Source organism: Homo sapiens, chromosome 3, assembly GCF_000001405.40.
Source record: "Homo sapiens chromosome 3, GRCh38.p14 Primary Assembly".
Taxonomy (NCBI): Eukaryota; Metazoa; Chordata; class Mammalia; order Primates; family Hominidae; genus Homo; species Homo sapiens.
In genome coordinates, this window is record NC_000003.12 from 153014340 (window position 1) to 153037623 (window position 23284).

The following is a 23284-nucleotide window of genomic DNA, read 5'->3' on the forward strand; positions in this document are numbered from 1 at the left end:
AATAAATAAATAAATGCACATTAAAACTCACTGAAAGACTATGTTTACCTATTATTTTTTCAAAAGTCCCCTAGTTTGGTAAGAATCTGTATGATAAGGATATGGGTATATAAGGAATATCATACATTTGTGGTGAAATTATAAATTAGTACCATGTCTATGGAAGTTTATTTGGCATTAAGTTTTAAAATTACAGATATATATATCCTTTTGATACATCTTACCATTTCTGGGAAGTTATACTTCTAAAGTATAATTTCTAAGTATTTCTAAAGAAGTACTTGAATATTTGTAAAATCACATATATGCAAAGGTATTCATTGTGGCTCGGTTTGTAAAGTCGAGAGTATATAAAAGTATCAGTCAATAGGGGATTGATTAAATAAAATATGTATATGCATACAAGGGAATTCAGGTGGCTGAGGGAAAAAATGAAGACACTGTCTACACACCAGAGGGAAATATCTCCAAAATATAGTATTGCAACAGTAAACAAAGCAACAACAACAAAGCAAAATGCAGATCATCAGGTAGAGAATGTTACCTTTTGTATAAAAATGGCAACAAGGTGCTGGGCGCTGTCTGCTATTTTTATGTGAAAATCCTGTTTCTTTTTCTAAGTACTAATAAATTTGCTTTTGATGAGCTGCTTTAGAGCTTGCCCACAATCAACAGCAACCTCTTCAGTTGGTATATTTATTTATTTATCTTTAGAAGTGCTTTTTTTTTTTTTCAACTGCTCTTGCCAGTACCTAGCCTCCAGGAGCAGTTCCCGTTGTTATAGATCCCTGTAGTTGCTTCAGCAGGCTGAATCAGTCACAGCTTCTCTCAGTTTCCAACATTTAATTCATCTGAGCAAAAGGACATAAATTCATGGAAGTGGCTGGGTTTTCTCCCATAATATCTTCACCTATTTTCAAAATCTATTCTCTATTGCCAGCATTTGAACGACTCTTTTAGGCCAAAGATCTCCTTCCTTGACAGAAAAGATGAAAAGGAATTCAGGGATAAAAGAGTTCCATTTTCTCTGTCATTTCCTAACACTTAATTATTAGTTCCAATTGATAAGTTATAACTGTCTTTTTCTTTTTTTGAGACAGAGCCTTGCTCTGTTGCCCAGGCTGGAGTGCAATGGTAAGATCTCAGCTCACTGCAACGTCTGCCTCCCGGGTTCAAGTGATTCTCCTGCCTCAGCCTCCCGAGTAGCTGGGATTACAGGTGCACACCACCATCTCTTCATTTCTTTTTTAGTATAACTAAAATAGTGCATGTTGGTGTCCTAGCATGTTTGGTAAGCCTTGGCACATCAGAGAGATGATAGGTGTTATGGTGTGGCCCATAATACTTCAGGTTTTAAAGAGAGACTGCCTCAGCTTAAATTTTGAGTTCACTTACTAAGTGTATGACACTGGGCAAATTAGTTAACTTTTGTTTTCCTCTGCAAAAAAGAAGTTGATGGCACCTAAGCTTTTTGTGAAATTCTAATGCATAAACACATAAAGCACTTGGTTCAGGACCCAGTCATTCACACAAGAGTTTAGAAGCGATCCAGTAAGAGTGCGTAAGGCCTCAGATATCGGTGCACACCAATGCCAATAAAACAAGAAATATACAAAGTGCATTTGAAACAGGAGCTTCCAAAATTTGGTAAATAAGACTTCACAGGCTTTCCTGAGTACTAGTGGGATTAGATTTATGACAGGAATATAGTCACTGTAGGACTGTTTGATGAATCCGAGCCCTTTTTCCTCCTGGTGAAAGTATCTTCCTCAATATAGCCTCTGTGATTGGCAAAAGCTGATCTCACTCCCATTTACGGAGGTGGGCCCTGATTAGTTTAAGCTGTTAAACAAATTTTAGGGGAGGTTATTATTTTAGATGGAGCTCCTTCAGAAGGCCCTGAAAGACCAGACCAAACCAAAATGGAGCCACTTGTGCTACGTGCAACGTAATCAATCTGAACCCTGAAACAAGACAGTTCTCCGAAAACAGAAGATTTACAACAAAAATTTATAGAAGGGGCCTAGTTTAACTGCACATAATAAAGAAGCCCCTTCTCTTTTAACTCTATCAATCCACTTTTTGTTCTCTTTTTCTGCTTTCTTCAGCCCTTTTCTTCCTACAATGCCAACTCCCTCTGCACAGCCCATCAGAGCACTCATTCTATTTTATAGAATGAGATCTGAATGACATCTTGCCTGACTCTAGAATCATAAATAGATCTTTAAACTACATTTGTGGTAATTTTGTCTTTTGACAAAGTTAATCAGCATACACCATCTACTAGCCAAAACTGATTGCCTAGAGATGGGCGTGTGACCCACCTGGACATTGAGACAGAAGAAAATGTGTGTTGAAGCCTTTAGGGAAAGAACTTCTTTACTTTTACCATAAATCCACAGAGGAATTCTATCGTACTGCTAGTTGTGAACACAGCCAGTGGAAGCAGTCAAAAGACATTTTTAACACTTTAGGATAAAACAAAAAAGCAGCTAAATTACAGGTTTTATTGCTGAGCTGCTAGATCAAGCCTTATCTAGGGCTCAGACTAATTCCTGATTTTATTTTATATGAACAAGTAGATCATTTTTATTGCTTACCCTAGTTTGAGTTAGATTTTCCATTAATTGGTATCAAACGTATCTTAACTGATACAATGATGGAATAGTATTGCCTCTTGAAAAGAAGCAGGCAAATTAGTATTGTTTACCAAAGAGGAATGTATCTGTGTGCATAGACATCCACAAATCTAAGATTGTATGCATGAAGAAGCACACGAGCAGAGAAACTCATGCTGATAAGGACAAAGGGGGACAGAACAGAAGGGACTTGTTAGAAGTAAGCTATATGCCACCCAGTCAGAGGAAGAAAATGGATGCTTCATTTCTCAAACATATTACTGTTTTCATTCAGCCAAATGCCAAACAGTCCTGTAGATGAAGAACACCAGCTGAGCTGAAAATGACATCAAGACTGCTGGCTATGAGGGACAGATGACTTCCTGGAGTATACTGTCATGTCTTTATTTGAATTGTATGAAGAAGGGCTTTAAGGAAGCATTCTAAAGCATTAGAGGAGGGCTTTTGTAATATCATCCAAGGATGGGGAAGAAGAGAATTTTTTTTAAGCAGTGAAGTATTGAACATGCATGCTGTGGTTACATTTTGAAAAGTTACTGTCTGGGATTGTTGAGCTGTTTTTGATAATATTCTGCTTTATCTAAATTACATCACCATGGCCAGGGACAGTGGCTCACACCTGTAATCCCAGCACTTTGGGAGGCCAAGGCGGGCAGATCACCTGAGGTCAGGAGTTCAAGGCCAGCCTGGCCACTGTGGTGAAACCCCATCTCTACTAAAAATACAAAAATTAGCCAGACATGGTGGTGGCACCTGTAATCCCAGCTACTCGGGAGGCTGAGGCAGGAGAATCACTTGAACACCGGATGTGGAGGTTGCAGTGAGCTGAGATCACGCCACTGCACTCCAGGCTGGGTGAACAAAATAAATAAATACATACATAAATAATTTTTTTCATGTTTAAAAAATAAATTATATCACCATATAAATCAGAGGTAACAGATGTTCCACTATAGTGGCAAACAGAGCTGAATGTAGGTAGGTACATGGGAATGGTAAAGGTGCACAGGGCACTCTAAGGAAAGAGAGGTGTGGGGAGGTATCTAGGGCTGCGCTGAGTCCACATTCAGCCAATCAGGACTGTGCTAACTGTTTGGCTGGTTTGGACATGAGTCTCCTGTAGAAATGCCAAGGAAAACAACCCAGAGAGCCTGCATACTTTTATTTGAAATTTAAAAAACAAAAATGGGGCCGGGGCGATGGCTCACTCCTGTAATCCTAGCATTTTGGGAGGTCGAGGTGGGTGGATTACCTGAGATCAGGAGTTCAAGACCAACCTGGCCAACATGGTGAAACCCCGTCTCTACTAAAAATACAAAAAAATTAGCTGGGTGCAGTGGCATGCGCCTGTAATCCCAGCTACTCTGGAGGCTGAGGCAAGAGAATCGCTTGAACACAGGAGGCAGAGGTTGCAGTGAGCCGAGATCGCGCCACTGCACTCCAGCCTGGGCTACAGAGCTAGACTTCATCTCAGAAAATAAATAAATCAATAAATATAAAATTTAAATTTAAATTTTTAAAAAAAACGGGTGGATTGTTTTTCAAGTGATTCCTGGGTGAGATTATAGACTTGAGGTTTCTCTCTCTCATAAATCTCTCTTTAGTGTTGGAGTTAAGAGGTTTGAGTTTACTAGGTATGTGGAGAACTTAGAACATGGCCTGGTTCAGTGTAGGCACTATCCATGTTAGCTATTACTATTCTTTTTTTTTTTTTTTTGAGACGGGGTCTTACTCTGTTGCCCAGGCTGGAATGCAGTGGCACGATCTCGGCTCACTGCAACCTCTGCCTCCCAAGTTCAAGCGATTCTCCTGTCTCAGATTCCTGAGTAGCTGTGATTACAGGCATGCACCACCACACCTGGCTAATTTTTGTATTTTTAGTAGAGACGGGGTTTCACCACGTTGTCCATGTTGGTCTCAAACTCCTGACCTCAGGTGATCCACCCGCCTCGGACTCCCAAAGTTCTGGGATTACAGGCGTGAACCACTGTATCCAGCCTGCTATTACTATTCTTAATGTAGGACAAAATGTCCAGAGAAAGAAAGTCCTCTGGCCATAGACCTGGGCCAGCAGAATCTTGTCTGTTGTTAGGCTCAACCCTCCTTGATGCCTCCCATTTCCTCCTTCAAGAATGACCACTCTTGAGCACCAGGCCACCTCCTCGGAAGATGATGGTTCCACAGACAGAGATGTAAGTACAGGCAGATGGAGGGCCATGCCAGGTGGTGGTGGAGGGTCACTTCCTTTCAGATCTCTGAAAGGTACGTGGCCATGTGCCCTCATTCGGCCTGAGAGCTTAAGCCTCCTGATATTGAGTGCTGAGAACACCCTGCAGGTGCAATGCATTGTTGTTAAGTCTGACATTTCTGGAGAAGGTTGTGGGGTAGATAGATCATGGGCACTGTTCAGTTCATCCTGCCAAGTGTCCAGTTGGAGCGGTGATATGAATTAGTATCATCTCAGTCACTTGTAAGCATTATCCATCACAGGCTCCCAAGATGGGTCTCATCATGGCAAGTAGTCTCCATCGAGAGAACCAGGAATGGAAAGAAGGTGTGGCTGATTCACCTCAACTGAATCATGTGGAGGGTGGAAGGAAAGAGAAAACCAAATGCTGCTAGCTAGGAGAAAGTGTCTGTTCTTCCTTCCACAAGAAAGGATAAGGGCTGGACAAAAGAAAAAAAGCACTGAATAGGGTTTTAAGAACACTAAACTTTACAGAGCATTTTAGAAGAATGTTCTCTTTCAGAGAACATGAGGATTAAATAGACCATATTAAGAATTTTTTTCGACGGGGTGCAGTGGCTCATGCTTGTAATCCCAACACTTTGGGAGGCTAAGGGAGGAGGATTGCTTGAGCCCAGGAGTTTGAGACCAGCCTGGCAACATAGCAATACCCCATTTCAGAAAAATAAAAATTAATTAGCTGGGCACAGTGGTGCGTGCCTATAGTCCTGGCTACTCAGGAAGCTGAGGCAGGAGGATCACTTGAGCCCAGGAGTTTGAGGCTCCAATGAGCTATGATCTCACCACTGCACTCCAGCCTGGGTGACAGAGCAAGACTCTGTTTCTTAAAAATGAAATTTTAAAAAAAGAATTTGTTTTTGTCATTGGCAATATATTTGTTTCACACAACTTATGGTAGTAGAAAAGAAACCTTGAAAAATAAGTGGTATGTAAACTATTCACACGGAATGAGCTGTGTGATTCAAAGTTAGAATAGGATACCTTCAGCTGCTAAGGTCAAATTAGCAGCCTTAGGGTTAAATTTAAGGAGTGGGAACTTCCCTAAACCCCATCCTCATTTCTTCCACATTATCTACCTATAATAAGGACATTCAAAGGGAAAGCTTTCCTATAATGGCAGCCTGACAGAATTTGATAGAAACTAGCAAGCTTCTGGAATCGGAATAGAACTAAGTCTAGCTCTAAACAGACTGTCTATGGCGATGGATCCTTTTAGATGCTACTTCAAATTCTATGGCCCATGTTAACCAGCGAGCCTGGGGCTCCCAGCTGAAACCTATTCCCATCAAGGGAGGAATCTTGGGACCTAGTTTCACTGAAGCACATTTCAGTTGGGGAACAAAATATCCTTTTCAGGGAAATTTGCTACCAAGGGATTTAGTAGAACTTGCTAGAGACTCTACTCCCAGAGCTGAAAAGACAGTGGAGCCAAAAGACAAGACAGATCTCCTAGACCTTTCCATTAGTGACCCCCTCCTGACTCCCATTTATTGACATTTAGATGGGAGTCTCAGCTGATTATTTTCTGTTTTGGTTACAAGGGGGCTAAAATAGCCACCTCTCTTCATATAAAACTCAATTGAAAAAAAAAAGAATGAGTTTCCCCTCTGATTGTTGTATGCCTTTGACATAATACTTTGAGGTAGAAAAACAGTGATGTTCTTATGCATGTAGAATGAGTATCTGTAGACCAGCCATCAGGTCTTGCTATGGAACGTGGGCATTTTAGAAGGATATAAGAGAAATGTGACAAAAATCCAGCCTTTGGTGGTAGACTGGGAAAGATTTCAGCCAGCTGACAATGTGTGACTGAAAATAAGTATTGCTTGTGTGATGTGAAGAGGGTGTACCCAACGCCGGGGCACTGACATCAACACACACAGGCAAGAAAATAGCCCTCCAGCTAGGGCCCCAGTGAGTCCTGCCCTACCCAGAAGAATCGGGAAATACAACTCTGGGTATACGGGAAGTTATTAACAAAACCAAGGTGTGGGCCAGATGCAGTGACTCACCCCTGTAATCCCAGCACTTTGGGAGGTCGAGGCAGGTGGATCACCTGAGGTCAGGAATTCGAGACCAGCCTGGCCAACATGGTGAAACCCCATCTCTACTAAAAATACAAAAATTAGCTGGGCATGGTGGGGGCACCTGTAATCCCAGCTACTCAGGAGGCTGAGGCAGGAGAATCATTTGAACCTGGGAGGCAGAGGTTGCAGTGAGCCGAGATTACATCATTGCACTCCAGCCTGGGTGACAAGAGTGAGATCTGTCTCAAAACAAAACAAAACCAAGGTGTGGGAGGAGGCAAAGCAGGGTGAAGGAAAACAAAGAAAGGGGTCTAGGAGAGATGCTCCTGCTGACCTGAAGGTGGAGAGTAGTCCATGAGGGAAGTGCCAAGAATTCAGGGCTAAAGTCACATGTCCAGGGCAAGTTGAATAGAACAAAGAAGCCAGTCTTGACTTTTTGCCACCAGGAGATCTCCACATATATCTTGGTCCTAAAGTAGCACACGACTAGAATATTCTCCAGGGTTTTGTGTATGTGTTTGACTTATCAAATATTAAGATCTTTTTCTTATCCTTCCACATTGGTGCAAAAGTTGCACATAATACATCTGCTTCTGTTCCCTTCTAATTAGTCCATGACCATTAAGGGACTGGGCTAGACAGAGTGGACATACGAGATAAGGAATGCTTTTAGAGAAGAATCTCAAATCCATGATACTTAAACTCTACATGCTCAACCTCACAGAACCACAAATTCCCAAATGGATTATGCTAACAAACTCCTTCTGTATCGGGATACAGAAGGAGAAGCAATAAAGGATACTTACAGTATTCACTTGAAGTTTTCAGATACAGCAAAGAGGGTAATAAATTTGGTGTCCTAATAAGCTCTCTGCTCTCCCCCGTTGGAGCAGTGACACCAGGGAATTAGTTATATGAGCAAGGTGAAGATAGAAATGTATAAACACTATCTAGGTGCAGTGGCTCACACCTGTAATCCCAGCACTTTGGGTCGCTGAGGTAGGAGGATCGCCTGAGCCCAGGAGTTCAAGACCAGCCTGGGCAATATAGCGAGACCATGTCTCTGCAAACAATTAAAAATTAGCCAGGCATGGTGATGTGCACCTGTGGCCTCAGATACTCAGGAGGCTGAGGTGGGAGGATCACTTGAGCCCAGGAGGTCGAGGCTGCAGTGAGCCAAGATTGCATCACTGCACTCCAGCCTGGGTGACAGAGAAGAGACCCTGTCTCAAAAAAGAAAAGAGGCCAGGCACAGTGGCTCATGCTTGTAATCCCAGCACTTTGGGAGGCTGAGGCAGGTGGATCACGAGGTCAGGAGATCGAGACTTCCCTGGCTAACATGGTGAAACCCTGTCTCTACTAAAAGTACAAAAATTAGCCAGGTGTGGTGGCGGGCACCTGTAGTCCCAGCTACTTGGGAGGCTGAGGCATGAGAATGGCGTGAACCCGGGAGGTGGAGCTTCCAGTAAGCCGAGAACATGCCACTGCACTCCAGCCTGGGAGACAGAGCAAGACTCCGTCTCAAAGAAAAAAATAAAGAAAAAAAAGAAAGGAAAGAAACAGAGAAACAGAGAGAGAGAGACACAGGAAGAAAGAGAGAGAAAGAAAGAAAGAAAGAAAGAAAGAAAGAAAGAAAGAAAGAAAGAAAGAAAGAAAGAAAGAAAGGAAGGAAGGAAGGAAGGAAGGAAGGAAGGAAGGAAGAAAGAAAGAAAGAAAGAAAGAAAGAAAGAAAAGAAAAGAAAGAAAGGAAAGAAAGAAGGAAAAGAAAAAGAAAAGAAGAAAAGGAAGGAAGGAAAGAAGGGAGGGAGGGAGGGAGGGAAATCTATGCTGGCAATCTGAGCTACAAAGTCTAGGATACCTTTGAGAGCCCCCTCCCCTTGCAGTGATGTGGTAATAAAGTAAACCCTTGAGTAAGCCCCAGTCAGCAGGCCATATCTCTCATACTTTAGAAGTGGTTGGTGGCTGTATCAGGCAGTTGCTGAAGTGCAACTATGGCAGTAAAACAAAGCTCCACAGCTTAGGAGAGGCTTCTAACATAAAGCAACAATAAAAACAGTTAAAACTCATATGGTCCTTACTCTGTGCCATGCACTCATCTAACACTTCACATTTGCAGTACTAATATGTTTAATTCTCAGAATGCCCCTAAAGCCTAGGCACACTATTTCCCCATTTTATACATAAGGAAACAGAGTGAGGCACAAGAGGTATATGACTTACCTAAGGGCACTTCACCAAGCATATGGAAAGAAGCACAAATGCAAACAGTCACTAGAATCCCTAGTAGTACTGGTTATAAAGCAATCAACGAGATGAGTTGGGGAAAGATTACATTTGTCTAACTAACATTAACGCTGACATGAAAACACAAGCTGAAGAGATCATCATAGAAAATTTATGGGTACAGGCTCCCTGTTGTGTATCTTTTTTAAAAATAGGAAAGTTATGAAGCCCAAGAATACGTCTGGGAGTTTGGAGAAGTTTGAAAAACACTGCTCGTGTTCACTGAGGCCATGCAAGGGGGAGATGTTTGATGGACATGCCATCTTCAGTCTCTGACCAGTGAATGTCATAGTCTGCAGTGCAATCAAATCATATCTGATCATATCACTTCCCTCATTATAAATCAGTAATAGTCCCACGGTGTTACAGAACAAAATTTAAATTCCTTGGTATGACCCACAAGACTCTTCATAATCTGGCCTCAACGGGCTTCCAAATCATCCCATCCAACATCCTTCCCCTGCATCACAAACCTCCAGCCACAGAGAACTTCTTGCCTGGCCTCAAACACGCCATGTGTTTTCATGCCTTCCTGTTTCTTCAAAACATGGCCTGAAGACCATCTGCATTGGAGTCAGCAGAGGGACTTCTTAGAAATGGTGACTCAGGGTTCCGCTGAAATCAACTGCCTGGGTATTTGGCCGAGGAATCTTCATTTTAACGAATTCTCCAAGAGATTTATTTTTGCTGTGCATTAGTATTTCAGGGTCATATCCCATTCCTTATGATGAGCCATCTGTCCCATCTGCCCTCAACAGATCAAATATCATCTCCTCTAGAAAATCTTTTTATTCCTTTCCTTCTCCAGATAAAATTGCCCTTTGCCCCTTCTGTGCATCCACTTTTCCCTGTTCAGAACTATGGCACTTATTGCTCTTATTTTTGTGACCTAGACTGTGATTTCTTTGGAGATCTTCATTCATTTGGCAACAAGCTTTTATTGAATGCTGAAGATCCACTGATGGAAGAACCAGCGTGGAGACCCATGGAGCTTAGAGTCTAATAAGGCCACAGGAAAGCCCTATTACAATGAAGTGTGCTGCATGCAATGAAAGGCAGCAGAAAGGGTGTTCTGCAGGCCATGGCGGGGGTTGGAGATATTTGGACTGTCATGGGGACCAGGGAAGCTTCTAAGTAAAACTGATATCTAAGTTGATTCTTGGAAAAGGAGTAAGAAGTACCCAAGGGAAGAAGAGAGCATACTCCAGCTAAAGGAAAAAATTCACTAAGGGCTGGGCGCGGTGGCTCATGCCTGTAATCCCAGCACTTCGGGAGACTGAGGAGGGTGGATTGCGAGGTCAAGAGATCAAGACCATCCTAGCCAACATGGTGAAACCCCATCTCTACTAAAAATACAAAAATTTACTGGGCGTGGTGTCTTGTGCCTCTAGTCACAGCTGCTAGGGAGGCTGAGGCAGGAGAATCGCTTGAACGCGGGAGGCGGAGGTTTGCAGTGAGCTGAGATCGCGCTACTGCACTCCAGCCTGGCAACAGAGTGAGATTCCGTCTCAAAAAAAATAAAATAAAATAAAAAATAAGTCACTAAGGCCCAGAGTGTGAGAGTGCGTGTGTGTGTTGTGTGTTTGTGCACACGTGCAAGCGAGTGAAAAAGTGATACTCAGATTATCCTCCATAATAACCATAATAACCAGATGTGTATATCTATCTGGAGTGTTTTTTCTGCCTTCCTTCATAATTAGTTTAAAGTCATATTAAACAGATTTTCCAGTCTCAAAGAAAACAAATTTTCCCTAGATGCTGTCAGATGGACACTCGAGCTTCAAACCTAACAATGCCTAATATCACCCTCTCTTTCCCAACCCCCTCTGTGTTGGTGTGTGTGCATATGCGTGTGTATGTGTGTTGTCATGAGCCTGTGAATGAATGAATAGATGCATACATTAAAGCATAAAATGTAGTTGATATGGTGGGACTTAGCATAGTATAAATGCTATATATTTTAGCATTTATGCATAGTATATATTAGCATTTGTACATAGTATAAATATTAGGATTAAACATTTCTAGGTTCAAATTCCAACTTTGTCAGTTGTGGCTAGGTAACTTTGGGCAGGTTATAAATGCGTTCTGGACCTCTCCATTTGTATGATGAATGTAGCAATATTTATCTCATAAGAATAGTATCCTGATTAGATAATATAAGGCACTTAACATGATGCCTGGTAGATAGTAAGCATTTTTTAAAGTATAGTAGTTACTCAGTTTCTGGATTTAGATATGGTTTTCAAATCCCACACCATCCCTTAATAAATCTGTGTAGCCTTGGGAAATAAACCGAATTAGTTTACTTCAGTTTCCACCAGAGTCTCCTTATCTAGTAAGTGAACGCACACAAGACTCACAGCCCAGTGCCTGGAACACAGGAAGCACTGAATAAATTATCATTTCCATCATTGTTATTATTACTTTTCATTACAAATATATTTTTTAAAAGTATAGTAGTTACTAAGCTTCTGGATTTAGATGTGGTTTTCAAATCTCATGCTACTTCTGCCACTTATATATGTTGTTTGTGTGCGGAAGATTAGCTTTCTGAAATAAATACGATCATTTCACTGTTACAAGGCATCTTTCATTTATCCTAAAATATAGTTTAGACCATTGTTTTAAAAATGACATCCAATTACAAGTGATTACCACAAGGTGGCTCCAGACCATTACTATTATTACTAAGTATGTCACATTTCAGAGAAAGAGTTGTTTCCCAAGCAATATTTTGAGAACAACTGTGTTTTTGTTTGTTTTACAAAGATATATGGTACTATAAAACAAATTCTTCTTCATTAGTTTCTATTTTTCTTCCTGTGTCCTTTTGAAAGGTAAGCACAGTTTTAATTGAAAAATACATATTCACAACGTAGCTCTAAAGATAAATTAATTGTGGCTGATATTTGCTCAATCATATCATTTTTCTGTATCGATATTAATATCTGAAATTAAACTTTTGGGCCTTGGTCATTTACGTTCATATACTATCTAGTATTTTTATAAGTAAAACCAAAAATCTAGTTATTGGGAAATAGAATGAAGGACTGTTTTTTTTGTTTTTTTGTTGTTTTTTTTTTCTCTCTTATTATTTTCATTTTGGGGGGGACTTTTCTTTAAGTTTGCATTTAGGAAATTGATTTCAAAATGCTTTACTTTTCAAAATAAATGTATGAGGCTTTCAATAATGCTTTTTATGGTGTTTGCTTTCATGGTTCAAGATCCTAAATGATTCAGATAAATTTATTTAAGAATTAATGTGGAGGGGCCAGGTGCGGTGGCTCACACCTGTAATCCTAGCACTTTGGGAGGCCAAGGTGGGTGGATCACCTGAGGTCAGGAGTTCAAGACCAGCCTGGCCAACATGGTGAAACCCTGTCTCTACTAAAAATACAAAAATTAGCTGGGCGTGGTGGCAGGTGCCTGTAATCCTAGCTACTCCTGAGGCTGAGGCAGGAGAATTGCTTGAACCAGGGGAGCAGAAGCTGCAGTGAGCCGAGATCATGCCACTGCACTCCAGCCTGGGCAACAGAGCGAGACTCCGTCTCAAATAAATAAATGAATACAATACAATAAAAAATAAGTAATGTGGAAAGGGCTGGGTGCGGTGACTCACACCTGTAATCCCAGTGGGAGGCCAAGGCAGGAGGATCACTTGAGGTCAGGAGTTCAAGACCAGCCTGGCCAAAATGGTGAAACCCCGTGTCTACTAAAAATATAAAAAAATTAGCCAGGTGTGGTGGCGCTTACCTGTAATCTTGGCTATTCGGGAGGCCAAGGCAGGAGAATCACATGAACCTGGGAGGTGGAGGTTGCAGTGAGCTGAGATTGTGCCACTGTACTCCAGCCTGGGCGACAGAGCAAGACTCCATCTCAAAAAAAACAAAAAAAACAAAAAAGAATGTGGAAAGGGACCGGTACAGCAGAACCATCAATTTCTTTGGTCTAAGAACTGCCTCAGTGTTGCCTTTGTTTGGTCTGAAATTTTTGGCAGTTTGAAATTCTACAATTATTAATTGTGGAAAAAGATGTTTGTCCACTGATCTCCCGTGAAAGCAGAAATGAGACTCTGACACTGCTATTAAAGCCTCCTCCTGGGCTTACTGCTGGGAGTTTATTTTTAGTATTTTGTTTCTCCTAGAAATTGGGAATTCTGCTGCATCTCTTTCCCTGGGAAACCTGCCGGCTTATACTTAGTTTACCTCCTGCATGGACTTCTAGATTGACTGCGAAAATGTTTTTCTGGCCCCAAATTTTCATTTACTTGCCTCTATTAAGAAATTTATGTTACGCATGAACATTTTGTAATATATAATACTTTAACATTACAAAAAGCCATCTTCCAAGTAGAACAGTCAGAACATAAGCCTGTACATATATACACACGTGCACACATTATTTAAATGGCATTTTAATTTTCTATCTATGAATTGTGCCATCTTATCTGAATTTGAACTTGGGGTTCATGCAGGATCTCTAGAGAGGACCCACGCTCTCAGTTTACCACAGGTCTACCCTCATTCACCTTTCAGCTTCATTCACTTGTACATTCTGACGGGACTCAATGCATTTGAGACAGGGTCTCACTCCCATTACCCAGCCAGGGTCATGCCACTGCACTCCACGGATGATGGTAGTGACACCCTATCTCAGAAAAAAAAAGTTGGGGGGAGGGTTGAGTGGGGAAAGGGAGGTGGGAAACAGTTTGCCTCATGAACAAATAAAGAATAATTAATTCATAGGTTGGGGACTAGAGTCTAAGAGCATTAAACAGGACTTTAGAATTCCACAGTCAGAAGCATAAATGGGAGAAAAGATTCTACCTCCTTGTATTTCTGTTACTGTCTCACCCATTTCTCACAGAATTTAGACCAGGAAGATGTGTGTGCGTAACATGAAAGATCTACGTGATAATAAACATGAAATGGCGAAATACTAAAGCCCAACTAAGGGACGGGTAGCAAGGGCTTTCCACAGTTCAACGCAGGAAGGAAGAGGGAGTGCAATTATTTTTATGCAGCGGAGGAGTTGTTCAGATTACAAATGATCTGGAAGTTGTTCTGCCAAAATCCAGAACAGAATAATACATTCTCAGTGAGGGACCTGGCATACTGCACAAACACAGACATCATTTCAGGGGAGTAAGTCACCAGGGCAAGCATTTTCAAAAGAATACTAGGAGCAGAAAGAAAGTAATTAAGCTTTGTCTAATTCTAAACACAAGTAGTTGTAGACATAGACATGCATTACTTAGAGACTAACTCTGAGTAACTGCAGATGGAGAGAATTCTCTTCGACTAGTGATTAAGTTAATGATATTAAACAGTAGGCTAGGTGGGATCAGTTGAGAATATAAATCCAGGATAAAGAGAAAACAAGAGGGTAGAATATACAGTTTTATCATATTAGACATATCTTTTTTGTTCATGGGGATGAGCTTGTATATAGGCAAAATGTATTTTAAAGCATGCTTATGTTAATTTACCCAGAAGAGCCCTAATATTCAGAACTCTCAACTCTATCCTGTGCTAAGTCCATTATCAAATATCTCCCAGATTCATCAAATAGAAGAAAACTACACTTTCTACCCAAATGGGATTTCCTTGTCACCTGATTTATACCTGTTCATAGGTGGATTATATCATAGAGACACTAAAAATTGCAGGAAAAGGTTGTCGGGATGAGGGTGAGACAAGTGAGGCACAAAACTTAAGGTGGCACTCACTCTCAAGGCCACGCAAGTGCATGTCAGCACCTGATAATGAGTGCCACCTAACATTTTGCATCCTGGGTAGCTCAACTTGCCTTAGACCTGGTCCAAGCTCCGTGGGTTCTCTCCCTGTATTTGCCATTTTCGTAAAGTTCAAGTGGGACATAGTTGATGTTGCCACTATTTTCAGGAGAAAGCCTGGCAGGAGAAACTGAATTCCTCACCTGCATCATTGCCAAAATGTCTCCTTCCTCCACCGGCTGTTCGGTGAGATAGAAAGACAGCTTCAGCTGTCTCATTCCACCCACCCCAGCAGCTGCTTGGACCTACTCCAGGCAGTATACAACAGGAATGTGTGTATGGTGGCGGGGGTGTGGAGGGCCTACAGAAATGCTTACAAGACTTGTCATGACTTAAGCTGTTCTTTAGATATTTTTCCACAAAATCTCTTTATAATGCATCTTGATATACTTGGATAATATAACGCTTATGCTTTTCAAGAGCAATTTTAAAAATCTATCAGTTGTTTGATGTTGATGGAATCTAATGGCCCAGTTTTGAAAACATTTTTTTTGAAGACCTAAAAAGATTATTTTTATTGAATTGTATACTTGTAGAGCTGAGAGAAAACTTAGCAAATTTTAATTTCACCTTTATAATTTTATATACTTTTCAAAAGATGCATTTGGTGACAAAATGGAATTTGCCAGAAGTATTGTAAGAACAATTTTAGTTTTTAAAATTTTTATTTTTTATTATTTATTTTATTCATTTATTTATTTTTGATTTTTTTTTAAGGAGTCTTGCTCTGTTGCCCAGGCTGGAGTGCAGTGGCACTATCTCCACTCACTGCAACCATCACCTCCCAGGTTCAAGCAATTCTTCTGCCTCAGCCTCCTGAGTAACTGGGATTACAGGGATGTGCCACCATGCTCAGCTAATTTTTGTATTTTTAGTAGAGAGAGGGTTTCGTCATGTTGACCAGGCTGGTCTCAAACTCCTGACCTGAAGTGATCCACCCACCTCAGCCTCCCAAAGTGCTGGGATTACAGGCGTGAGCCACCATGAGAGAAAAATTTTAATGTAAATATGTGAGCATCTACGTGGAACCAAGACACGTGAAACAAGAGTTAAAGGATACACATGTGTCTTTTCAGAGTCATAGTGTAGGGGGAAAAAAAAGAAATAATTCTGAGACCTAATGTGACTTGACTGTAAAGGAGAAATGGAGAAGTTAATGAATTGATATGAGTTAAGTCAGAAAAATTGCCCAAAGAAAAACACTCTGATCCCATAATGAACGGAAATTACCATGAGTATCTTGATTATCTGAAATAAGATAACGTAGGCATAGGCAAGTAAGGTGAAGGTTTTTATCTGGGATGATTATGAGTCTATTATCTAACAGGATTTTAAATTGTATGCTTTCAGATACACAAAAGTAGTAAAGTTAGGAGGATATTATACGTGTTCTATGTTAAATGAGTTCCAAGAAAGAGTCAGTATCTCTTTCTAGGACCCAAGAATCAGCTCATAACATTAGAATTCAACATAGTTAAGTGAACCTGATAATATAAAACATACCATGAGACCGGGCGCAGTGGCTCAGGCTTGTAATCCTAGCACTTTGGGAGGCTGAGGCGGGCGAATCACATGAGTTCAGCAGTTCCAGACCAGTCTGGCCAACATGATGAAACCCCATCTCTACTAAAAATACAAAAATTGGGCTGGGTGCAGTGGCTCATGCCTGTAATCCCAACACTTTGGGAGGCCAAGGCGGGCAGATTGCCTGAGGTCTGGAGTTGAAGACCAGCCTGACCAACATGGTGAAACCCCGTCTCTACTAAAAATACAGAAATTAGCTGGGCGTGGTGGTGCGTGCCTGTAATCCCAGCTAACTTGGGAGGCTGAGGCAGGAGAATTGCTTGAACCAGGGAGGCAGAGGTTGCAGTGAGCCAGGATCATGCCACTGCACTCCAGCCTGGGCGACAGAGCAAGACTCAGTCTCAAAAAAAAAAAAATTAAAAATTAAAAAATAAAAGTAAAAACACAAAAATTAGCCAGGCGTGACGACACATGCCTATAATCCCAGCTACTTGGGAGGCTAAGGCAGAAGAACCGCTTGAGCCCAGAAGCTGGAGGTTGCAGTGAGCTGAGATCAGGCAACTGCACTCCAGCCTGGGTGACAGAGGGAGTCTCAGTCTCAGGTAAATAAATAAATAAAATAAAATATACCATGAAATAGTAGCTGGTGGTAAATGGCTAGGGTTTCACTCATTTAAAAGCAATGAATAGAATATACATTACCTTCTTAGGAAGTTTGCCAATAGACAACTCATTTTTCTCTTAGAAAACTATGAGACCCTTTACAGTTAGTATTTTCAAAATTATATTGAGTATATTCTCATGTTGTTACATACTGAGATAAAATCAACAAAGCAACATACCTGTTATGATGTATTTATATGAATCTTCAGATTTAAGCTTTAAAAATATCCCTTCAATCTCTCCAACTGATAAAGAAAAAAATGGCTGAAAAATTAAGGAAAAGCAAATGCTTCAAATTTAAAATAATGTAGGTTTTTTCCTGACTACGTAAGCAATACATGCTTATTTTAGAAAATATAGTAATTAAGAAAGGAATGAAAGAGAAAGGAAAAGAGAGGGAGGAGAAAAGAAAGAAAGGGAGTAAAGGAAGGAAGAAAGGAAGGAAGGGAGAGAAGGAAAGAAAGACCAGCAAAAGTAGATATATTTCTACTGGACAGATTTGCAATGGTCTAAACATTCTAAAAATAACTAAGACTCATGCCTATCCATGCATGGATAATTATGCCTTTCTGCCTATGTCAGAGGGTTTTCTGGTTTTAGGGAAGGTTTGCTTGTTTGGGGGTTTTATTTTTTTATTTATTTTTACATTTGATCTTCTATAATTTTCTTGTTCCTACTTCTTTTAGATTTGTAATGCCTTTCCATATTACATTTTTTATGTGAGGTCAAAAATGTTTTTAAACAGGTGAACAGTATAAAGGTAAATTACTGGATTTAGATTCAGAATGTGGGATTCTAGACTTGGGTCAGTCTATAAATGAGGCTTGGTCTCACAGAACCTCCGGTCTGATACTCAGATTCTTTAGAAACACTCTAGATCCCTGATAAACATTATTCAACTTCTTGAAATTATTTGTAATGTTCTGTATATCATTCATCACTACCTGATATTTTTTTCCTTATTCACTTATTGTCTATACCACCCAACTAGAATGTAGACGCCAGATAATCTTTTCTTGTTCACTGGAATATCCAAGACCAGCACCTGACATGTAGTAAGAAGTTAATAAAAGCCTCTTACTACATAAATATAACCTAAATGTAAGGTGAATTTTCCCCCAAAATTCCTAGAAAAGAAAATAGCTACGTACATTCAAGTTCCTCCAAAGTCTCTCATGCTATGGATCAATTTCGTAAGCCATAAAATACTGCTTAGGATAACATTAACCAGAAACTACCCTGCAATCATTTCTCTACAATTAATGCTAGGTGCGGTGTTTACAAAGATCATCTGTTAAAGTTAGTATAAAAGAAGGCAAAGGTTAGCAATCTCAGTATTTATTCTGGGTTTTGATACCATGTTTGCAAGTGTTGGAGGCCATTATAAATAGGGCTTTAAAGATTATTTTAAAAGTAATAATGGTTATTGCATTAAAAGGATTAGAAAAATAAACCTACAGGAAGAATAAAAATGAAAATAAAACTGTACTAATACATGTGAATGGGAACCTCCAGTGTCAACATTACACATGCAATCACAAAGTGCTGTATCTCACTGAGACACAAGTGATGCCGCTCTGATAATGTAAAAATAGCTCTGCTGATGACAAAGACACTGATGTCAAAGATTTGAAAAGGCTGAATAATTTAAGTGTGGCTGGGGAAAGAAAGCAATATTTCTAAATGACTATATGTAGATAATATATAATTAAAAATATATATAACTAAAGCAATAAATTAAATATATAAGTGAATAATGCACTGTTTCATCCACATCCTTTGAAGTTTACATTTTTGCATAGACAAAAGTCTTATTTGGAGGAATTTTTGCTTGGTAATAAACAGTAAGTTTATTTTTTTAATCTATCTTGTTGTATATTAATTGTGGTATTTCAATATGAAATTTTTTTCAGTTCTGTATGATGCTAAACCATTAGATATTTAACTATTGTTTCTCAGCTATTTCTTCTTATTCTCTTTTTCAAAAACTCATAATAGAGTTCTGGAGCGTCTGTATAGCATATCTATGTCTGTTAGCTGCTATTTCATACAGATTTTTAAATCTTTTATCTCTTTGTGCTGGATTCCCTATATTTCTCAGTATCTTTTTCCTAACTTTTTTTTTTTGAGACAGAGTCTCCTTCTGTCATCCAAGCTGGAATGCGGTGGCACAATCATGGCTCACTGCAGCCTCGACCTCCCAGGCTCAAGAGATCCTCCTGCCTTAGCTTCCTAAGTAGTTGGAATTACAGGCACATGCCACCATGTCCAGCAATTTTTTTGATTTTTTGTAGAGACGAGGTCTCACTATGTTGCCCAGGCTGGTCTCAAACTCCTGGATTCAAGCCATCCTCCCACCTTGGCCTTCCAAAGTGCTAGGATTACAGGCATAAGCCACCAAGCTGGGCCTTTTTTCTTAATATTTTTAATTTTTCTCTTCAATTGCATTTAGTCCTGAGTTAATCCTGTTTATTATTTTTTCTATAATAATATTTTTTAGTTCCAAAGTTTTTACTTGATTCTTTTTCATGTGCTACTGTTTTTGTTTCCAATATTATTATTATTATTTTATTCTTAAGTTTTGGGTGTAGCTGTTGTTGTTTTAAGACAGGGCCTCACTCTTTCACCGAGGCTAGAGTACCATGGCATGATCTTGGCTCACTGCAGCCTCAATCTCCCCAGGCTCTGATGATCCTTCCACCTCAGCCTACCAAGTAGCTGGGACTACAGGTGCCCACCACCATGTCTGGCTAATTTTTGTACTTTTTGTAGAGACAGGGTTCCTCCATGTTGCCCAGGCTGGTCTCAAACCCCTGGGCTCAAGCAATCCGCCCACCTTGGCCTCCCAAAGTGCTAAGATTACAGGCGTGAGCAGCCGCACCTGGCCAAGGTTGTTATTCCTTATCTCTTTGCTAAATCTGGTAAAAGTCTTAAACACATTTGTTGTATTTTTTTCAGGTAGCTCTATTATTTTCATTTGATACAGCGTTTATATTTCCCAGCCTTTAATTTTTTTGATTATCTTTGCAGCTATAATATTTCGATGTACTATGAAATTGTATGTATTTATTTATTAACCAATCAAATAAGCAGCAGGGAACTATGAAATTTTGGTTTTCAAGCTTGCTTTGATGGGAGATTATTTTTTTCTCCATGTTCTTTGCTTGGTTTTCTTTTATGCCCTTTCTTCATACTTCTCTCTCCCAGTGCTGCACCACCTAGACCACTGGGGACCCCAATCCAGAACCAGGTCATGCATAGGTGACTTTGCACTGATGGGCAATACTGGAGCAAATGTTGGTCCAGGCATGGCATCAGTGGGCTGGCACAAGCCCTGGTTGGAAGGCAGCTTTTACTTTCTCCCTCCTCCTGCTTAAATAGCTCTATATGAGCTGTAACTCCAGTTGTTGGTCAAAGGCTTTTTTTTCTTCCTTCCATAAGCTGGGAAGTCTCTATCGCAGGCTTTATTTCAAGCAATAGGCTGGGTTCTTGTCCCGTATTCTTCACAGATTGCAGAAGCTAAGTTTACATCTACCTCTCCCAGCTGCCGGACACAAAACACAGCAAGCCCACTTCCCTCCCGCCACGTTTCCATCACAGTTACTGACATCGTTTCTGAGCAATGCTGTATCTTTTAAATTTTCTCTTTATATTATAACTCTTATTTTATGTATTAGCAATGTGAGGGGCAAAAGAATCTCAATGTTGAACAATACCAACAGAAAAGTTTTGGTGGCATTTGTTTTTTGTTTGTTTGTTTGTTTGTTTTTGAAATAGAGTCTCGCTCTTGTCGCCCAGGCTGGAGTGCAGTGGCGCGATCTCGGCTTACTGCAACCTCCGCCTCCTAGGTTCAAGCGATTCTCCTGCCTCAGCCTTTTGAGTAGCTGGGATTACAGGCGCCCGCCACCAAGCCTGGCTAATTTTTGTATTTTTAGTAGAGACGGGGTTTCACCATGTTCGTCAGGCTGGTCTCGAACTCCTGACCTCAGGTGATCTGCCCGCCTCGGCCTCCTAAAGTGCTGGGATTACAGGCGTGGGCCACTGCGCCCAGCCAGCATTTGCTTTTAACCAAAAAGTAGGAGGTTACTTTTACATAAAAAAAAATCAACTTTTCTTCAAATATAGTTAAAATCCAGGGACTTGTCTTATTTTCTGCTGTATCTCCAGCTTTTAGAATGTACTAAGAATACTATAGGAGTTTAAGAAAGGATTTGTTAGGCTGGGCATGGTGGTTTACGCCCGTAATCCCAGCACTTTGGGAGGCTGAGGCGGGCAGATCACGAGGTCAGGAGATCGAGACCATCTTGGCTAACACAGTGAAACCCCGTCTCTACTAAAAATACAAAAAGAAAAAAGAAAAATTAGCCAGGCATGGTGGCAAATGCCTGTAGTCCCAGCTACTAGGGAGGCTGAGGCAGGAGAATTGCTTGAACCCGGGAGGCGGAGGTTGCAGTGAGCCGAGATCGCGCCACTGCACTCCAGCCTGGGTGACAGAGCGAGACTCCATCTCAAAAAATAAAAAAAAAAATTAAAAATAAATAAAAAATAAAGGAAAAGATTTGTTAAGTGAATGATTTGCTGTTCATCCCTGAGTTAGTGGGGCAAGGAAGAGGGTAGAAAGAGAGAGATAAAAAATTACACAGCATAGTGTGATGTTGCCTTTGATTTGATCATAGTCTAGTAGAAGTGACAACACTAATATACACCACACAACACACAGTTAAGACAATATGTAATAAATTTCTCAACTTGATCATGCCAATTACAAGTGCTATGGCATTTGATAAATTTACAAACTGTATCCAGCCATAAATTTGAATAAAGGAAAGAGCAGGGGGAAATGTAAATTATTGCTACATATATTTAAATTGGGTAGGTGCGGTATAGGGAAGGGGAGAGTCATTAGCTATTCCATTTATTGTATTTAGTTCCCTTTGGCCAGAAGGATGCGGTCACAGCTTTGGAAAAAATAGTGCGTATCTTGGGAAATAGTGCAAGGTCACCACATTGACAGTAAATGTCAGAGGTTAATTGTGCAGTGCCATTTCTTTATTAAATATATAAGTTCAGGCTGGGATTGGTGTCTCAGGCCTTTAATTCCAACACTTTGGGAGGACTAAGGTGAAAGGATCCTTTCAAGCCAGAAGTTTGAGACCAGCCTGGATGACATACCAAGACTCTGTCTCTACCAAAAAAAAATTTTTTAAGTAGCCAGTTGTGATGATGTGTACCTGTTGTCTCAGCCACTCAAGAGGCTGAGGTGGAAAGATGGCTTGAGCCTGGGAGTTGGAGGCTGCAGTGAACTATGATCGAGCCACTGCACTCCAGCCTGTGTGACAAAGTCTCACTTTATGTGAGACCCCATCTCTAAAAAGAAAAAAGAAAAATATATATCTAGGTTCAGAACATAGACAACTTGCTTACAGACCTTCGTGAATGCAAAATGTGATAATTCTTTTCAGAAGAAAGATTTTTTAAAAAAATAAGCAGGGTCTCCATGGTAACCATAAAGGCAAATCTTGCTTTGTGAGTATTACATCAACATGAACAGCTGGAACAGGTTGAACAAAAATGGCTGGGGAGAAGAAGGTGGGGGAATTTGGAGAGAGAGTGAATAAAGAAAATGACAACCCAAACCAGAAGCTGTGTAACTTATGCCTTGATTCATTAGTACTGCATTCAAAGAAATCAGAGTTTCGAACCTTTTTTTCAAAGGTACTTCCCCTCCATCCTGTTCAAATCAAAGATGGTAAAAACTATTATGCTATTTTTTAAAAGAAAAGTAAATGATTTGAATTAGATATATTTTAAAAATCAGTGGGCTTTGACAGATAAGGGGATATTTTAAAAATCAATGTCTTTGACAAGAGCCACACAAAGAAAATGAAAACCAGATATATATGCACAGGCTCAGATAATGAATTAATGCAAGAGGAAAGCTGTACCGTTGAGGAATTTCTTTTCACACTTCAAAAAAAACACTGTATAATGCATGTCCATATAGCACAAAGACACAGTATTACTGAATCACTTGTTAGTAGATGCACTACTAAGAATTCAAAAACGCACCAATGGGTGGTGAATCACTTTTTTCGGAATGGAA

The 23284-nt window shown here is 40.3% G+C and overlaps 1 annotated feature.

Moving 5' to 3' along the window:
* Positions 9581 to 9875: an enhancer, noted in NCBI's record as "tiled region #12497; K562 Activating DNase matched - State 5:Enh". NCBI's record gives its function as "activates a minimal TATA promoter and a strong SV40 promoter by Sharpr-MPRA in K562 cells {active_cell/tissue: K562}" and the evidence as "EXISTENCE:reporter gene assay evidence [ECO:0000049][PMID:27701403]".